This window comes from Homo sapiens, chromosome 2 (assembly GCF_000001405.40).
Source record: "Homo sapiens chromosome 2, GRCh38.p14 Primary Assembly".
Classification (NCBI taxonomy): domain Eukaryota; kingdom Metazoa; phylum Chordata; class Mammalia; order Primates; family Hominidae; genus Homo; species Homo sapiens.
In genome coordinates this window covers 187,632,714-187,650,805 of record NC_000002.12, presented here as the reverse complement: position 1 = coordinate 187,650,805, position 18,092 = coordinate 187,632,714, and positions in this window count along the sequence as shown.

Sequence of the window (18,092 nt, the reverse complement as noted above, 5' to 3'; positions counted from 1 at the left end):
GCTTATTCACTATCTAACTCTCTACACTAAAATGTGAGAGCATGTCCACTGTGAAACCCTTGTTCCTAGAACAGTGTTGTCAGTTGATGTCATAAAATTTTCACAGAACAAATAAAGGAACACAGAAGAGAGATCTTGCTGAAGTAGAGGGATCATTGTTACACACCCAGGGAAGTAGCCACATGCCTATACCTTGTTGGCTGTGACTGTACATTGTGGGTTGCTGGAAGAAAAATCAAAAGCATCATTACCCATTGAATTAAAATAAAAAACTCTTGTCTAAGATATATAGGTAATCATATCAGAAAATCAAACAATATTATAAAACTATACTTTTAAAGTTTAAAAAGTAACAAAATTTTAGCAATATTTATTTATATTTTTTGTAATTTTGAATACTATTTTTAATAACTGTACTTATTGTTTTTACAGATGGGACTAATTGTCTAAATTCAAGAATTCCTTTTGAATGAAAAGAGCAATGAAAATGTAACACATTCGGTAGATAGAAGTCCAAGGAATTTATCACATTTGGAACTATATTTTAAGAATATAACTTGCTCATTAATGTGAATTATAAAGAAATTACCTCACTATTAATTTTATTAAAAAATAGTTTACTTTTTACTTTTGATCCTCACTCCAGATGATAATGGAAGAACAAAGATGCTACTAGCATTTTATTTTAAATCACATCTGCAGTCATTTTATACGATAAATGCTTTCACATTTTTATTCCTGGAACTGGTGTTGTTTATGATAGCCTTTTTCCTTAAGGATGATGGGTATTCACTTAAGTTGAAATTTGACATTTCATTAATTTTTTTAGGGCAATAGGAGACATAATAAATATTCAAATATTCAGACTGCAAGGGAACCGCTGCACATATTTGGACACTTTTTGGACATACTCTAGTATGACTAGAAGTAATACGGTAACTTTAAAGTGAGTTGGACATAGGCCTTATGTTTGCCCACTACTTCAATAAATATGCTTATTTTAAACTATAAAATAAGTTAATATTTTTCTTAGCATTAGCATAGAAAATATTATTTTATCAAAATTATTAAAATGTTTTCAATTATTAGCATAATAAAAAGTGATTAGGCCAAAAACAGAGTATATAATATTTTGAATAAATTATATGTTAGCGAATATTCTAAATATAGATCTATTTTGTATATAATTTTAATAAATACATGTTTGTCACTTTTAATATCATTTAGTTTTTTAAAATATATTTAAAATATTTAATTATAGAAAAGCCCTTTACTTGAGGGTATATTTATATTTAGAGTTGTCTATTTGTCTGAATTTTGTGCTGTGTTACTTATATTTACTCTTCCTGTGGTAGAGTTGCTCATTGTGGAACAGTCTTGAGGAAATTAGAGAATTCTTACAGACATTCATTGTATTAATTAAACACAATCAATTTTTGAATGATAATCATAATGAAAATAATATTAATTGAAATACCAAGTAACATGATTGGACAAAAGAGAGGAAATCACTCTATCTTTCAAATGAATGTTACAAATATCAATAGAAAAAGTATTCTCTTACACAAAAAACTATTTTTCATAGTCATGTCACTTGCTAGTTTGGTTCATTTTTATATGATAATTTCTTTTTGTAATATTCTTTGTTCTGGACTTGGTCATTGCCTTTTTCAGTGACAGACGAGACATTTATATTCATCTTATTTTGGAAAACTTTCATGGCTATTTTTTGGTCAAATCATGAGATTCTGTATATACACTCCCTATGTTAAGCTTCTTACACTTTGAACTCTGCAAGCATCCCTGCTTGGACATAGCTGCTTTCATTGGAGATTTGTTTCCAAAGGCATCTGGGTAGGCAAGCATTAGAATTCTGCTCAAAGATTCAGGGACTTGCTAGCTCACCCATTTTGCTTCTGTAGTTCTTGAGCAGCAGTTACATGGAGTACAGCAGTGCAAATGCTGATACAGACAGCAGAAGGCCAGATATAAAAGGAAGCAGACTACAAAAGGGGCAATCAATACAGTTATTAGGAAAAATATAGGAAAGATAGAAAGAAGATACTTAAGAAAATTTAAAAACTTTCAAAGTTGGATTTGCATTTTCAGAGTTTTTGCGGCATCTTAAACATGCCCAACAATCCTTGAATGCAGACTATGCCAATAAGATTATTTCCCAGATTTCCTAACTATTCTCTATATATCCTTAACATAAAGCCCCACCCTCTAAAGTAACCTAAATTATGTCTGTTTAATGCAGAAAATTAACAAATAGCAGAACTAATATAATTAACCATGCTTATTTTATGTATATTCTTGGTGATCCCTAATTATTTATAATTTAAGGCCTGTGATGAACAAAGAAAGATATAAATGTGATCACAATAATGAATAGATAATATCTTGCTTTGCTGGAAATAAAATTTCGGTGCTATTGAACTCAGTTCATCTCTTTGGCACAAGTACTTCAGTGTATTTTGGATATTTTTAGGTTTTCCTTCAAAAATAGTGCATTTCTTTACAGCAGCAATTTTAATTTTTTATCTACAGTTACATACATTCAGAAAATAAATTACTGCCTGAGCAATATTACTTATCAAAATTTTCTTATATATGCACAATTATGTCCTTTGCTATTTAGTTGACATTGCCCTATTTTTATATGTACAAAGATCATTGATTTTTATTGAGCTAATTTGTTCTATATAAATAATTACTCCCTATATGGCAATTTTAGAAGTCAGATAATTTTTTTCAGAACTTCAATGGAGAATCTAGAATACTTCATTAGCAACTCATTTATAGTAATTCATTTATCTGAAAATACATCCTTAGATTGTAGTTTTTTGTTTTTAGTTGCACACACAGTATTTCTTGATTTCCTATTCATGAGAAATTAGGCATTTTATTGTGTCACATGGTGGTAATTTCATTTAGAATTAACAAATATTTACAAGTATAAAATAACATTCTTACAAGGCAATTTAAATAGTACTGGAAGTATCAAGGCTTACATTTGCAGCTGCAAATAAAAAGTGCTTTTAAATGTGAAGAGAGAATCACATGGAGCATATTGTTGCTATATCTTGCAACACTGTGGCATTGTCTTAATTTTTCTAACTTGCCAAACCATTAGTGCCTTGTATGGATTCCAAGTACATATTGCATTCTTAATCCCAAATTTATTGCAAATTTCACCAATATGTCATTTCATTGTTACCACTATCATCATCAAAATCACCCATAGTTGACTACTTAAATGATATTGAAGAAAATATCTCAATATAACACATAATGTGTATGTAATTGATCTCTCTTTACCATTTATCTCATTTTATTTGCCCCCAACAAGCAATTTTCTTATCACATAATATTGAAGTCTTGATTTTTCTTACCTGTTGGGGTCATTGATTAAACTCTCCACTTTCTAGAAATGCTTACCTTCCAAATTTTGTTTATACTTCCTCTAATACTTCCTCCAAGTAACCAATGCCTCAATAAGGTTTTTATCTTACAATGCACAGGTACACAGATTTTCTTACTCTGAAATTCTCAGTACTTGTACATTTTATATCTACTATCTTTGGCTTTTACTTTTTCCTTACACATATATGTATATGTGTGTATGTATGTTTGTATGTATATATACACACATATAAAGAGGTGTGTGTGTGTGTGCATGTGTGTGTATGTGTGTGTGTCTTTTTAACCAGAGCATACTTTCACTTTCTCTAGTATTAAGTTTAGGTCCAGCATAGTGATATGCTCCCTTATTAAGCAGGTAATTAATAAATGGATATGGAATATGGAATTAATACTTGATTAAAGAAGAAAAGAAGTAGGCAAATGAAAGCCAAAATCAATCTGCAGATAATATTGTCTGTGAGTTTATGTATGTGCATGCATATAACATTGTTTCATTAGATTCAGGGAACATTATTTCAGTGACACATCTTCTCAGAGATGTCATATAGTCTTCCATATGTGCTTCTTTCAGAGCTGGCAAGAAGGGTATAACATTTGGGCCTGGAATGTCTAAGCTTTGTTCAGACATGCACTCTGTGATCTAGAAGAACTATTGGCTACATGGAATATTTTTAACCATAGACGATGGCATGTGCTTGCATCCCAAGATTTCACTCAGGACTACATAAAATGGAATCACACATTACCAGAGAATGCATTTCATTTCTCTTAGTTGATTCTTCACTATATAATTCCTATCTTTACATATATGTTACCAAGATTTTTTTTCATCAGGATTGTGTAGCATCAAGAATAAAAAATTTAAAAGTGGAATAATTATCATTCTTGTTATACCCTTCTATGACACACTGAAATGTCATTTAGGATTTGTATGCCAAATATTATGTCTGAAAAAATCACAATAGGGTAATTTTTCTCCATAAGTTTTTGTGTCAAGACCTTGATAACTCTGTAGTTTTTTGCTAAATCCTTTTTGGTTTCTTCCGATTCCTCTTAAGAACTTTAGTCTGTTGTTTAAATGTATAATTGATGCTCCATTAAAAAGTTTATGGGCTCAAAATGATTATTTATAGTATAATTTTCTTTCAAAAGTGTTTCCTCCCTTGAAGTTTTAAAAATATTTCTGTAATATTTCACTTATAATAAGTTTTAGTGTTCAGTAGCATACTAGGATGGCCATAGTTAATAAGAATTTATAGTACATTTCAAAATAGCTAGAAGAGAAGATTTGGAATGTTTCCAAAACAAAGAAATGGTGTTTGCAGCTATGGATATCTCAATTCCCCTTATTTGATCATTACACATTGTATGCATGTATCAACAAAATACTTGTACCCCATACATATGAATAACTACTATGTATCAATAAAAAGAGTCTGATTTAATATGAGTAATTAATATATTTTTATATTAGCGCTTTATTCAAAAATAAATGAAAGAAACAACAATTTCTGTCAAAGATGATCTGCATCTTTGGTGAAACTTGATTTATAATCTTTGTTCATTTGTGTGGGTTGTCATCATTTGTAAGCTATACCACACAAAAACAAATAACTCTAACTTAATTATTAACTTAATCAAATCTAAGTTTCATATCTTCATGGATCAGCTGATGGAATGTACTGGCTGATGAAGTCCATTATATCTCTGAACAGTTGCCTGAAGGACAACATAGGTGGGTTTGAGGAAGTGAAACAAATAAGTTTTAATTAAAGTGTTGAAAGAGAAAATTATCTACCTGAAGAAAATCTGTGATGAGTCCTTCAAAAAGTTAAATACATCTCAGTTTTCAAGTTAATAATTTTCAAATTAGATTTTATAAACTAGAGTGTGTACACAGACACAGGCATCATTTGCATTGTTTTATGAATGTAATGCATGGCACTTTTTGTGAGCAACAAAATTCTGTAACTTTATTCGGAGAAAATAATATATGGAGACAAATTAGTACCAATAGTACTGACACCTCTCTCTCAAACTTATATTTTATAAGCTATCAGAGAAATCACATGTTGTGATTCATTTAAAAATAATAAAAGCCATATTGACTAATACAGTTGTCTATTAGTGCTCATCATGTTGGGAGCACCATTTCCTGGAAACATATGAAAGGAAAAAGCATTAAAACCATTTTGCCCTCGCTGTTGATTCTTGCTGCTGATTGCCTTTTATTTTTATTCACTGACTCATAAATTCCTATCCTCAATGTTAGAAAAATAGAATCAATATTTTCACCATTAGTCAAAAATTTATATTATGCTAATACTTAAAAATAACCATTCTTTTTGTTCCAGAAACTATTCTGCATTACAGATTATAAATAGAGAATTACAATCCATTTCAAGCTTGCCAAAAAGTGTATTTTAATCCTGTTCAGAGTATGGCATAATTTTATAATATATGGTTGTATTGTTATATAAGAGCTATGAATTTCCTGATAAATATAATTGATTTCCTTTAATGTGATTAGGGCCTTTCTTAATTTTTCTGAGCCTCTTCCCTCACAAAAAGTGAATAAGTTTCATGGTAATATAAATTATAGTGACTCATGAAACAGGTATGTTATAAAGGAAAATAATTTTTTCTGCCATGTATTTTTAAAAATCCATGACATACTTACAAATTTTGAGGCTTATTAGTGGGGAATGCCCAATACTGATCAAGTGATTCATAAGTTTTTAGAAACAGAAATGTAGAAGACATCTTAAGAAAACAAGAAATTCAGAAACCTCTTTAATTATCTTTTAACTGCTTTATACAATTTGGATTGGATTATTTTAAGGAAATGTATTGGCATCTAGGTCATGGCAAAAAGTTCAAATGCTAACTTATCTTCTGCATCTTGTCTCAGATATTTTATTTTGTAGTAACATTAACATCTTACTTTATTTTCCGCTAGTCATTTTTTTATCATAAAACATTTTCTTCTCAATTAATAGTATCTTCATCAAACATCTCATGCTGCAAGCCATCAGTGACATAGACATAATCCTCTCCTTGAAAAACAATTAATTTTGGAGAAAGTGCACAGATATAAAAATTTAAAAGTGCTAAAGACAAATCACAATATGCAAAATTCCAAAACAGTATGAAAAAATAAAAACTCTTTCCTGAAATCTTCCAAAGATGCAAAAAGTAATCATATAAAATAATGTTTTAGTTGAAATAAATATACTTTTAAGAATAATAAACCTCTAAATGCTGGAAGCAAGATGTTATTTTTAAGAATTGTGGGAGAGAATAAGCACAGTAGTACTTATAAAGCACTTACTACATGCCAGCAACATTAAAGGGCTTTACATTTATACTTAGTGTAATCCTCATAACAACTATTGGCAAGATGTATCCATATTGTAGAGATGTTTAATAGTGGGGAAAATGCATATGAACTTTTATGAAATAGAGACAGATATTAGTACTTAAATATATTTAAATATATCTTTGTCACTTATGTAGGGCCAGGTATTTAAAAATTTTATAGAACTAATTCTTCCTAGCCTGTTTTGAGTCTTTGCTCAATGTCCATCCTCAGTGGCACCCTCCAGAGCACTGTAATTTAAATTTCATTCTCACCACTCAACTACAGTATTCATAATTCAGTATAGTCTTTTCTGTTCCTCTTGTTTTCCATAGTTCTTATCACTATATAATATGCAATAGAAATTATATATGTTTTTCGAATGTCTTTTTTCACAGATCACTGACCTTTTATGATATAAACTCCTTAAAGGAAAGGACTGTTGTTTGGTTCAACTGATACATCTCTAGCACATACAACACTGCTCATCACATACTCAATATGTATCAGTTTGATGTTAAGAAATAACAATTAGTAAATCATCAAAAGATGAATTGGTACCGAATGATCAATGTTACTTCAATATATGGTCAAAAATACATTTTTACATACGTTTATCTAAAATATATCCATATGATTTTTCTTGTGTAGAAAAGGCATATGCATTTATGTATATAATGTGACATTAGAACTGCCAATATAAACCATCAATGATCATCTAACTATTGAATAATTTATCTTTTGGTTTTCAGTCTGGAAGGGGAATGTCATATACAAAGCTGAACAATAAAGTATAAACTAATTAGGCAATCTATTTAACTTCTATGAACCTCAGTTTGCTCTTGTATTAAATGGAGATAGTAATAGTATGCCCCTCATAGAGTCATTGTAAGAAATAAATGACACAATTTATACATAGTATTTTTTGCTACTCAAAAATACTTAGTATTTTTTGCTACTCAAAAATACTTAGTATTTTTTTTCTACTCAAAAACAATATTTTAGCTATTATGTTATTACACCAGAAAGAGTGACAGGATCATCTGCATAGTTATTTGGGGGATATTTATAGAAGTGCTGGCATTAATGTGGAATCATATTCCAAATTCATTCAAGTAGACATGTAACTATTGAATACTACTTTTTAAAATTCCCTAGCATCGCAATATATAATGTATGTAAATAGATTATAACAGTGTCTATCATGGCATGCTAACAAAACTGCAGAAATTTATCACCGCAAGCATCTGTTTTCTCCACCAATAAAATTTCACTGGCCGTTCATTCCCATGCTGGTTGATAATAATACTTTTGAGAGCAATTGAGGTTAAGAATGCCAGTAATGTGGATTCTGTTTGGAAATGTATGAAAGAATTTTGATAAAATCTAGCCTAACTTGTACAAATTTTTTCAGACTTCTCCAGGGCAGAACACCACCAATTTGGATGATATCATTATATTGTAGCCCTTAAAATACTTCTGTAAACGGAAGGTTGAGGTGCAACATATAATATTTCACATACAAATAAAATGATGGTGCTATCTTGAAAATTTGGCAACTCACACATGAAGACAACTTAAACCTGTCATTCTGCAACAGATTTTATTATATTTTTTATGTAAAGTCTACTCAGCCACTGTTTTTCAGCCTTTGATACAAAGAGATACACAGCACAGTTCAACAATATAGTTTGTAAGCAAAAAGCTAAATCAAACACCAAAATTGTTCCAAGCTTTTAAGGCTGTGAAAAAAGTTAATCATTCAATTTGCATCTAAAATAATGTTTACTGTTCAAGTTTTGTAAGTTTGTCACTCACCATTCTCTTAATACTAGAAATTACACAAATTGGCTGATACTTTAACATTCTAAATAAATATAACAATTTTGTATAAAAGTATTCAGGAAGCTGTGATTCTCAAATATTGCTGTATATTTTAAATACCTGGAGAACTTGTTGGAAATGTTTGTTTTCTGTATTTTCTGTACAGCCACAAATTTCTTGTAATTCAGATTCAATAGACCTGGAGCAAGGTTTTGGGGAAATCTGCATTTTTAATAAGCAAAGTCATTAATTGTGGTGCTCTTCATTGTAGACCACACTTAAAGAAAGACTATTCTAATCCTATCATTTGACAATATAATGTTTTCTTGGTGCAAGGAAACAAGAAGCTGGTGTATGTGAATGAAGATATATAGGTGCTTTTTAGATAATAAATTCACCTGAAATGAGAGCTTTTGACAGAAAATATCTCTCTATCAAACTAGTATACCATTTGGAGACTTTACAACATATATATAAATAAATAAATAATGCACCACTGATTTCTGCAAAACAAAGTGCTATACTCTTAAGAATAGAAATCTGCTTTGAAAGTCATAGGTGATATGGATTTCAGTTGAGAATTACTGCAGTAACAAACAACCCCCAGCATCTCAGAGGCTTTAAACAACAAATATTTATTTCTTGTTTATGCTATATGTCCATCAGGGGGCCTTTGTTTATTACAGTCACTCAGAGACTTTGGATGACAGAGCGGTCACCTTTGCACATCATATTTGCTCCCATATCAGAGGAAAGATAAAGACTCTAAGAGTTCTTGCTGTAGCAAGTACATGCTAAGTTCTGACTTCAACAGTTAAATGCTAATGACTCATTGACCTAAACTAGAAACCAACGCACTTCCAAACAAAAGAGACAGCAGTGCAATACTACTACGGGCCTAGAAGGTAGGGAGGTTGAGGATTAGAGTATTTGAAATATTTGACAAACAACAATTATGACTACCACAAGTAACCAAATTCTCTTCTGAGAACTGCTCCTGAAGCTCCATGTCTGAATATCAACAGTAAACCGTTACGCTGTTGGCTAAAGGCAGTTGATGACTCAGAGAAATCTACCTGTGAAAAATGTTGTGCATTAGCTGATTAGACATCAGCACTGTGTCTACTCTAAACAGATGGCAGAAAACGTAAAATCTGCTGAAATGGAAGGAGGAAACTTTAATTATTGAAAGATGTTCTGCATGATATCAACAGAGAAATTTGTCCTTTTGACTAATTTTTTACTAGCTGATGAATTATCTTCTGACCAGCACAGCTTCACTAGTTTTCACGTAAACAAAATTCATCATCTCCAACTGCCTTTAGATTAGTTTAATTAGAGTTTCTGCTTCACTGTCACTAAACAAGAGAAACTTAAGGAACGGGTCAAAGATTTGCATCACAACTCAGTTACTCAACACAGAATAATATTAAATGTATTCAGAAGGCTGAGCATAACTATTTTTTGACAGCATAAATCCTTTCCCAAAAATACCATCTATCCCCCCAAATTTTTAAGATTCTCCACTTAAAGTTTTGTGATTGTGCTTTATCTTTTGTAGAAATATTTTCTTCATCTTTAACAAAACCTATTAGTTATATAATTTTGTTTTTATCCTATCTGCCAAAACACTGCTTTTCCACTATGCAATGGGGACACAGTATAGCCATTGTCTTGATTTTCATTATTTTATTAACATATATAATACTCGAGTCTAATCAATTCTTAAGAAGAAACCAATGTCAGTATGTAGATGTTTATCAAATTGACAGAATGTTCATGTTTAAAAATTGTTCTTGCAAAATAACAATTTCAAAATGTTTAGAGAGGAGTTTTAGGTTCCATTTTTTCAGAATCCCCATGTCTAAAATATGAAATATATAGAAGTGACTTTAAGGGACTATTTATTTCAATAACCTCTTTCATTGTGGTTGCCCTCAATTATTTAGGAAAAATAATGAAAAATATAAGTTTAAATAAGACACGATGTTAATAATTATGAGTTTGAACAGATTATTGATGAATTAGTAATTCTACCATAGGAATAATGGACAATTTTGGGTTATGCTTTCCTATATTGATCAAAGCCCTTGTGCATTCTGACTTGATAGTAAGTTCAGTTTCATGTGGGTCAGTTGATGAATTTGCAATATAGTCATTGTAGACACAAACTAGAACAAAGTCTATGGAGATTCTAGTCACAAATGATATATCACTGATAACAATTTTCTCACTTCATTCAACTTTTCACTATGCGTTCTTTAGGACCTTCCACCTTCTCTTTGTCTCTGAGTCTCAGAGACAATGCTTCGTATTGCAGATATCTGTTATGGCAGCATACCACTTCTGGTATCCTAATCTGAGCCAGTTAGCTGTTAATAAATTTTGTTAAACTCCAAAATATTTTATTATATCATGGTTTTGAAACTCAGAAATTAAAGTAGGATGCACTTGGAATGGCATGTTTCCATTCCTCAGTGACTGTTAAAAGTTAAAATACACAAAATACGTCTTAAATTTAAGTGAGTTGAAGTAACTGTTCCTATGTATTTGCTTTGTTTAATAAGTGATAAAAGTACCACTTTATATATTAGATTCTAATCAGGGATATGACACATAATCCCTAGCATAATCTTTAAAAATTGTTAAAGAATGTAAAGGAAACAATAAAGAAAAAGCTGAAATCTAAGGCTAATTAGTGCAAAAAAGATAAAATAAAAAAGACAAAATGGAACATAAGTCAGACGAGTAAAACAGCAAAAAAAAGTAAGATGTTAAATTTATATACAAATATACAAGTACAATAAATGCAAGTGTAATAAATATTTGAGTTAAAAGAAAAAGATTGATCAAGAAAATTCAATGATATTTTGTTCTCAAGAGAAACATCTTAAATACATTATACAGGAATATGAAAAGCAAACATATTTTTAAAGTATTTAAGTGTTCAACCAACAAAAAGATAATAGCTATACTAACATCAGATACTTTTTCCATTTCTCATTGGGGGAAAATTTTCAGGCAAGCAAATACTTTCAGTAAATACTAGAATTTGTGGATGTTTCATGATGGTTTTTAAAGTTAATAAATGTAAGGCCCACTAACACCCACATAGTCTAAAAATACTTATGAAATCCACAAAGGATTAACAGGTTGCTCTGATGCTTTCGGTAGAGTGAGAGAGAATTTGGTAATCTGTTAGAGATTATATTGCTGAGAAGCTACTAGGGAAGACTATTTGTAAAAGAGTAAGTTCTATATCTGTATCTAAGCCCCTATGGTAGACTTAAAAAAATACTAACTTCAGTGAGTTTTAGGTTAGTTGACTTTAAACAAAAAAATAGTAATAAAGAAAAATATTTGATAACAGTAAAAAGGCCTTAAAATTTTATGCACCTATTAATATAGTCTCAAATATACCATTCAGAAATTGACATAGGTATCAAGGAGAAGGATATAAACCTAAAATAATATTGAAAAAACACTTTCTTTTTCTGGAATTGAGGAAGCAAAGAGACAAAAATTCATTAAGAATATAACACTTTTGAGGAATAAAATTAATCCAGTTGACCTGGTAGATATGTACAGAACATTACACCAAACAAATGTAGAATGTAGTTTTTTTCAAGACCACCAGAATATTTACCAGAATTGGCCAAATGCTGGGCTAGAATACAAACCTCAACAAATGTTAAATGAAATCATGCAAAGTGTGCTATCTTACCACAATGATATTAAGCTTGAACTCAGAAACAAAAATATAACTATTGATACAAAATATTCGAAAGGTTGAAAATTAAATTGTGAACTTTGAAATAGAAAGCTATGTGTGAATAAGGAAATTTGAATAGAAAATGGAAAGCATTTTGAAATGAATGATGGTAAAAGTGGAACATATTAAAACAAAAGGGTCAGCACTAATGTATTAAAGGGAATTGTATAATCTTTACTGACTAGCTGAAAAAGAAGGGAAACAGAAAACCAAATCTACCCCTCTCCCTCTCCCTCTCCCCTTTCTTTCTTTCTTTCTTCAGTCTCCCTCTCTCCCCTTTCTTTCTTTCTTTGGTCTCCCTCTGTTGCCAAGGCTGGACTGTACTGCCGTGGTCTCGGGTCACTGCAGCCTCCCTGCCCCGGGCTCCCGTGGTTCTCCTGCCTCGGCCTGCCAAGTGCCTGGGATTGCGGGCGGGCGCCGCCACGCCTGACTGGTTTTTGTATTTTTGGAGGAGACGGGGTTTCGCCCTGTTGACCGGGCTGGTCTCTGGCTCCTGACCTCGAGTGGTCTGCCCGCCTTGGCCTCCCGGGGTGCTGGGATTGCAGACGGAGTCTTGCTCACTCAATGCTCAGTGTTGCCCAGGCTGGAGTGCAGTAGCGTGATCTCGGCTCGCCACAACCTCCACCTTCCAGCCACCTGCCTTGGCCTCCCAAAGTGCTAAGATTACAGCCTCTGCCCAGCCACCACCCCGTCTGGGAAGTGGGGAGCATCTCTGCCTGGCCGCCCATCGTCTGGGATGTGGGGAGCCCCTCTGCCCAGCCGCCCCATCTGGGAAGTGAGGGGCGCCTCTGCCTGGCCGCCACCCTGTCTGCGAAGTGAGGAGCGTCTCTGCCTGGCTGCCCATCGTCTGGGAAGTGAGGAGCCTCTCTGCCCGGCAGCCCATCATCTGGGATGTGAGGAGCGCCTCTGCCTGGCCACCACCCCGTCTGGAATGTGAGGAGTGCCTCTGCCTGGCTGCCCCATCTGGGAAGCGAGGAGCGCCTCTACCCGGCCGCCCCATCTGGGAAGCGAGGAGGGCCTCTGCCCGGCCGCCCCGTCTGGGAAGCGAGGAGCGCCTCTACCCGGCCGCCCCATCTGGGAAGTGAGGAGGGCCTCTGCCCGGCCGCCCCGTCTGGGAAGCGAGGAGCGCCTCTACCCGGCCGCCCCATCTGGGAAGTGAGGAGGGCCTCTGCCCGGACACCCCATCTGGGAAGCGAGGAGCGCCTCTGCCCGGCCGCCCCATCTGGGAAGCGAGGAGCGCCTCTGCCCGGCTGCCCCATCTGGGAAGTGAGGAGCGCCTCTGCCCGGCCGCCCATCGTCTGGGAAGTGAGGAGCGCCTCTGCCCGGCCGCCCATCGTCTGGGATGTGAGGAGCGCCTCTGCCCGGCCGCCCCGTCTGGGAGGTGGGGAGCGCCTCTGCCCGGCCGCCCTTCGTCTGGGAGGTGGGGAGCGCCTCTGCCCGGCCGCCCCGTCTGGGAAGTGGGAGCCTCTGCACGGCCACCCCGTCTGGGAGGTGAGGGGCGTCTCTGACCGGCCGCCCTGTCTGGGAGGTGAGGAGTGCCTCTGCCCGGCCGCCCTTCATCTGGGAGGTGGGGAGCGCCTCTGCCCAGCCGCCCCGTCTGGGAAGTGTACCCAACAGCTCCAAAGAGACAGTGACCATTGAGAACAGGCCATGATGACGATGGCGGTTTTGTCGAAAAGAAAAGGGGGAAATGTGGGGAAAAGAAAGAGAGATCAGATTGTTACTGTGTCTATGTAGAAAGAAGTTGACATAGGAGACACCATTTTGTTCTGTACTAAGAAAAATTCTTCTGCCTTGGGATGCTGTTAATCTATAACCTTAACCCCAACCCCGTGCTCTCTGAAACATGTGCTGTGTCAACTCAGGGTTAAATGGATTAAGGGCAGTGCAAGATGTGCTTTGTTAAACAGATGCTTGAAGGCAGCATGCTTGTTAAGAGTCATCACCACTCCCTAATCTCAAGTACCCAGGGACACAAACACTATGGAAGTCCGCAGGGACCTCTGCCTAGGAAAACCAGAGACCTTTGTTCACCTGTTTATCTGCTGACCTTCTCTCCACTATTACCCTATGACCCTGCCACATCCCCATCTCTGAGAAACACCCAAGAATGATCAATAAATACCGGAAAAAAAAAAGAAAAAAAAAAGAAAACCAGATCTAATCATTGATGTCAAAAGCTTAGAAAAAGAACAAAAATTAAACACTATGAAATAGAAGGTCGGCAATAATAAAAGTAAAAGCAGAAGTTAATGAAATGTCCTATAAAGTACAACAGAGAAAATCAGTATTATTAAGGATTTTGTTGTTGTTGTATTTTTAGCAAAACTGACTTGAGATGGAATAGAAAAATCTATTTTTTTAATTTTTTGTTTGTTTATTTGTTTATTTATTTATTTGTGAGACAGAGTCGCACTCTGTTGCCCTGGCTGGAATGCAGCAGTGCAATCTTGGGTCACTGCAACCTCCACTTCCCCAGTTCAAGCGATTCTCCCATCTCAGCCCCTTGAGTAGTTGGGATTACTGGTGCCTGCCACCAGGCCTGGCTTATTCTTGTATTTTTAATAGAGACAGGGTTTCACCATGTTGGCCAGGCTGGTCTGGAACTCCTGACCTCAAGTGACCCCTCTGCCTTGGCCTCTCAAAGTGTTGGGATTACGGGCATGAGCCACTGCATCTCCCCTGACTGTTTAAATACTTTTGCCCTGCCTCACCTCCACGGGGTTAACCTCTTTATACAATCATTGCTACGACAACTATCTGTGCCCAAATATGTGGCGATAACACCTTGACTGCCCTACACAACTCATCTTTGCTTTTTGCCTTGTCTTTATCTAAAACAACAGTCAGGACACAGCAGAAACCAGCTTAGCTTTAAAGTATGTATAGCTCAGAAGTGTAAGCATAAGGAAGTTAACATCTCATATGACAACCTTTGACCAATGGGTGCACAGACACTAATGAATGAACATTTATCATTTCCAGGACTAAGACAGACAACTTTCAGGTGCAGTCTTCACACCAACCTATCAACTCCCAGGGGATCAAACCACAACCATCTAGAATGGTTAACAGCTTGATTATATAGATTTGTTTCAGCTTTCCTCCTTCTCTCTCAATTTCCCTAGTCCCTCACTCCTGTTCTATGGGCTACCTTACTAACTAAATTACCTTCTTCCAAGTCATTGTCCCAGGATCTTTCTTTGTTTTTCCTCTTTTTTTTTTGAATCTAAGGGAAGACTATCCAATACAAAATACAATTTTAAGAACTTTGGATCTGTAATTTTAAATCTGTCACAGAAAACTCTAGGACATATTCACTTTATAAGTGAATGCTGCAGATTGTAAACAAATTTTCCCAAAGAATAGGAAAAGAGGAAACATTTTCAAACTCTTTATTTTTGTGTATTTATTTATTTGAGACAGGGTCTTGCTCTGTTGCCTAGGTAAGAGTGGAGTGGTGCAATCATGGCTCACTGCCTCAACCTCCCGGGCCCAGATGATTCTCCCACATCAGCCTCCCAAGTAGCTGCGGACCACAGGCATGCACCACCATGCCCAGCTAATTTTTTATATTTTGTAGAGAGAGGATCTCACTGTGTTGCCCATGCTTGTCTAGAACTCCTGAGCTCAAGCAATCCTTCCACTTTGGCCTCTGAAATTGTTGAAATTACAGGCATGAGCCACCAGGACCAGTCAAATGTTCAAATTTGTTATATAAGGTGAGCATAACCTTGACATCAAACCTTGATGAGAATAAAAGAAAACTTTAGGCCAATCTCTTTCACAAAAATAGATATGAAAAATTCTAAACAAAAGACTAGCAAACTGAATTCAGAAATAAACAAGGACAATGCATCACAACCTGTTTAGAATTATTTCAGTAACGGAAATATAGTTCATTAAACATTTGAAAAGTTCATCAATACCATTCACCATATCAAAGGAAGAAGAATCATACAATGAATTCAATAAATACAAAATAAATATTTTTTAAAATTCGAAAAACTTTCATGATAAAAATATTTAGCATGCTATAAGTAGAATAAAAATTTTATTATCTTACAGAGCTGTCAAATTATGAAGGTCCAAAACTCCTAAAGCAAATGCCATATATAATGGTAAAATGTTGAAAACTTTCCCTCTAACTTTCAGAATAAGGCAAGAGTACCCACTCTCATTAAAACAGAATCAATAATGGGAAAAATTAAAATCATGTATCAACTGATAGGATGCAATAAGAACACAGTGTCACCTTTGCAATATTCCTGTCAATATAAATAACCTAATAATCAGACAAATACTGATGGAAGGACCTTCCACAATAGAAGTGCCTTATGATCTTCAAACATGTAAAAGGTAAAAAGAATGAAAGAAAAGATAAAGAATCAATCAAGACCAAGAGAGATTAAAGAAACATGATAAACTGTAACTAATATGTGATTCTGAACTGGAGTTTTTGCTGGAAAAGGCATTATTCAGACATTTGGTGAAACCTTCATTGCATGAGTTGTAGATGATAGTAATATATCAATATTTATTTCCCGCTACTGATGGTTGTACTAAATTTATTTATGCGAAATTTTTGTTTGTAAGCAAGTATTATAGCCTAATAGGCTTTAAACTTTTGTTCTTATATGGTTTGGAGACAGGGGTGGTAGGGAGTACTCTCTATTGCATGTGAAACTTTTCTAGAAGTTGGCAATTGTTCTTAAAAAGTCCTAGAATTATCAGGAAGGCCTTTATTGTTAAGGTAACTTTACTTTTTTAGTTATTTGAATAACTTACCGATTTCAAATTTGGCTTCTGTAGAGTTAGAGTTTGCATATATGATCTTTTCCAGGGTTTTAACTGAATCAAATTCATCAGTGTTTTAGAATCAGCTTTTTCAGGCATAAATTAAAGCATGGGTATTTACTTTTTAACTCCCTTACCTTTATCATTAACCAGGATTTTTTGAAAAATCTTTTTGAATTTTTGCTTTATGCTCTAAAAATTTATTACATTTATTATATATGTTCATAAATCTGTATTGGTATAATAATGTAATTAGATATGACACAATCAAAAAACATAAACAGTGCCTGAAAGATTTTGCTATTTAAACTTAATAAACTCTATCCTTAAATGTGTGTGTTTGATTATAATGACTATGTTTGTGTGTTTTAACATTTAATATGCTGACTTATCTTTCATCAAAGGCATATTTTACTTTACAGTTTTCTTTATTCTTTTGCTAAAATTGAGGAAAAATAATTATATTCTACTGTATATTATTAAATTATTTTATGTTAAGAGAATGATATTGATGTTTACAAGACTTTACCAAACTATTAAATATTCACAAATCAATCAACTGAGAATATTTCCCCCACATGAATTCTATGTATTTATTTTATTATACATAAGAATATTTCTGATCAATAATATTGGGCATATGTTGTGGGAAATGAAAGTGCACTATTCACCAGAATAATAATGGTTTTAAAACTTAAAAACTTAATTAATTGAACTTTGAATGGTCAGTGGGATCAGTATTGTCATGGTTATAATTACTTCCACACGATATCATTTCTCCTTTTAATATGCATTTTGTGTGAATGACATAATTGTCATTAAATTGTTTTGGTTATTTTAACAACTATTGCATGAATTTCCCATTTAATGATGAATGACTGTCATTAATTTATTAAGAGTATGTTTATAAAATGC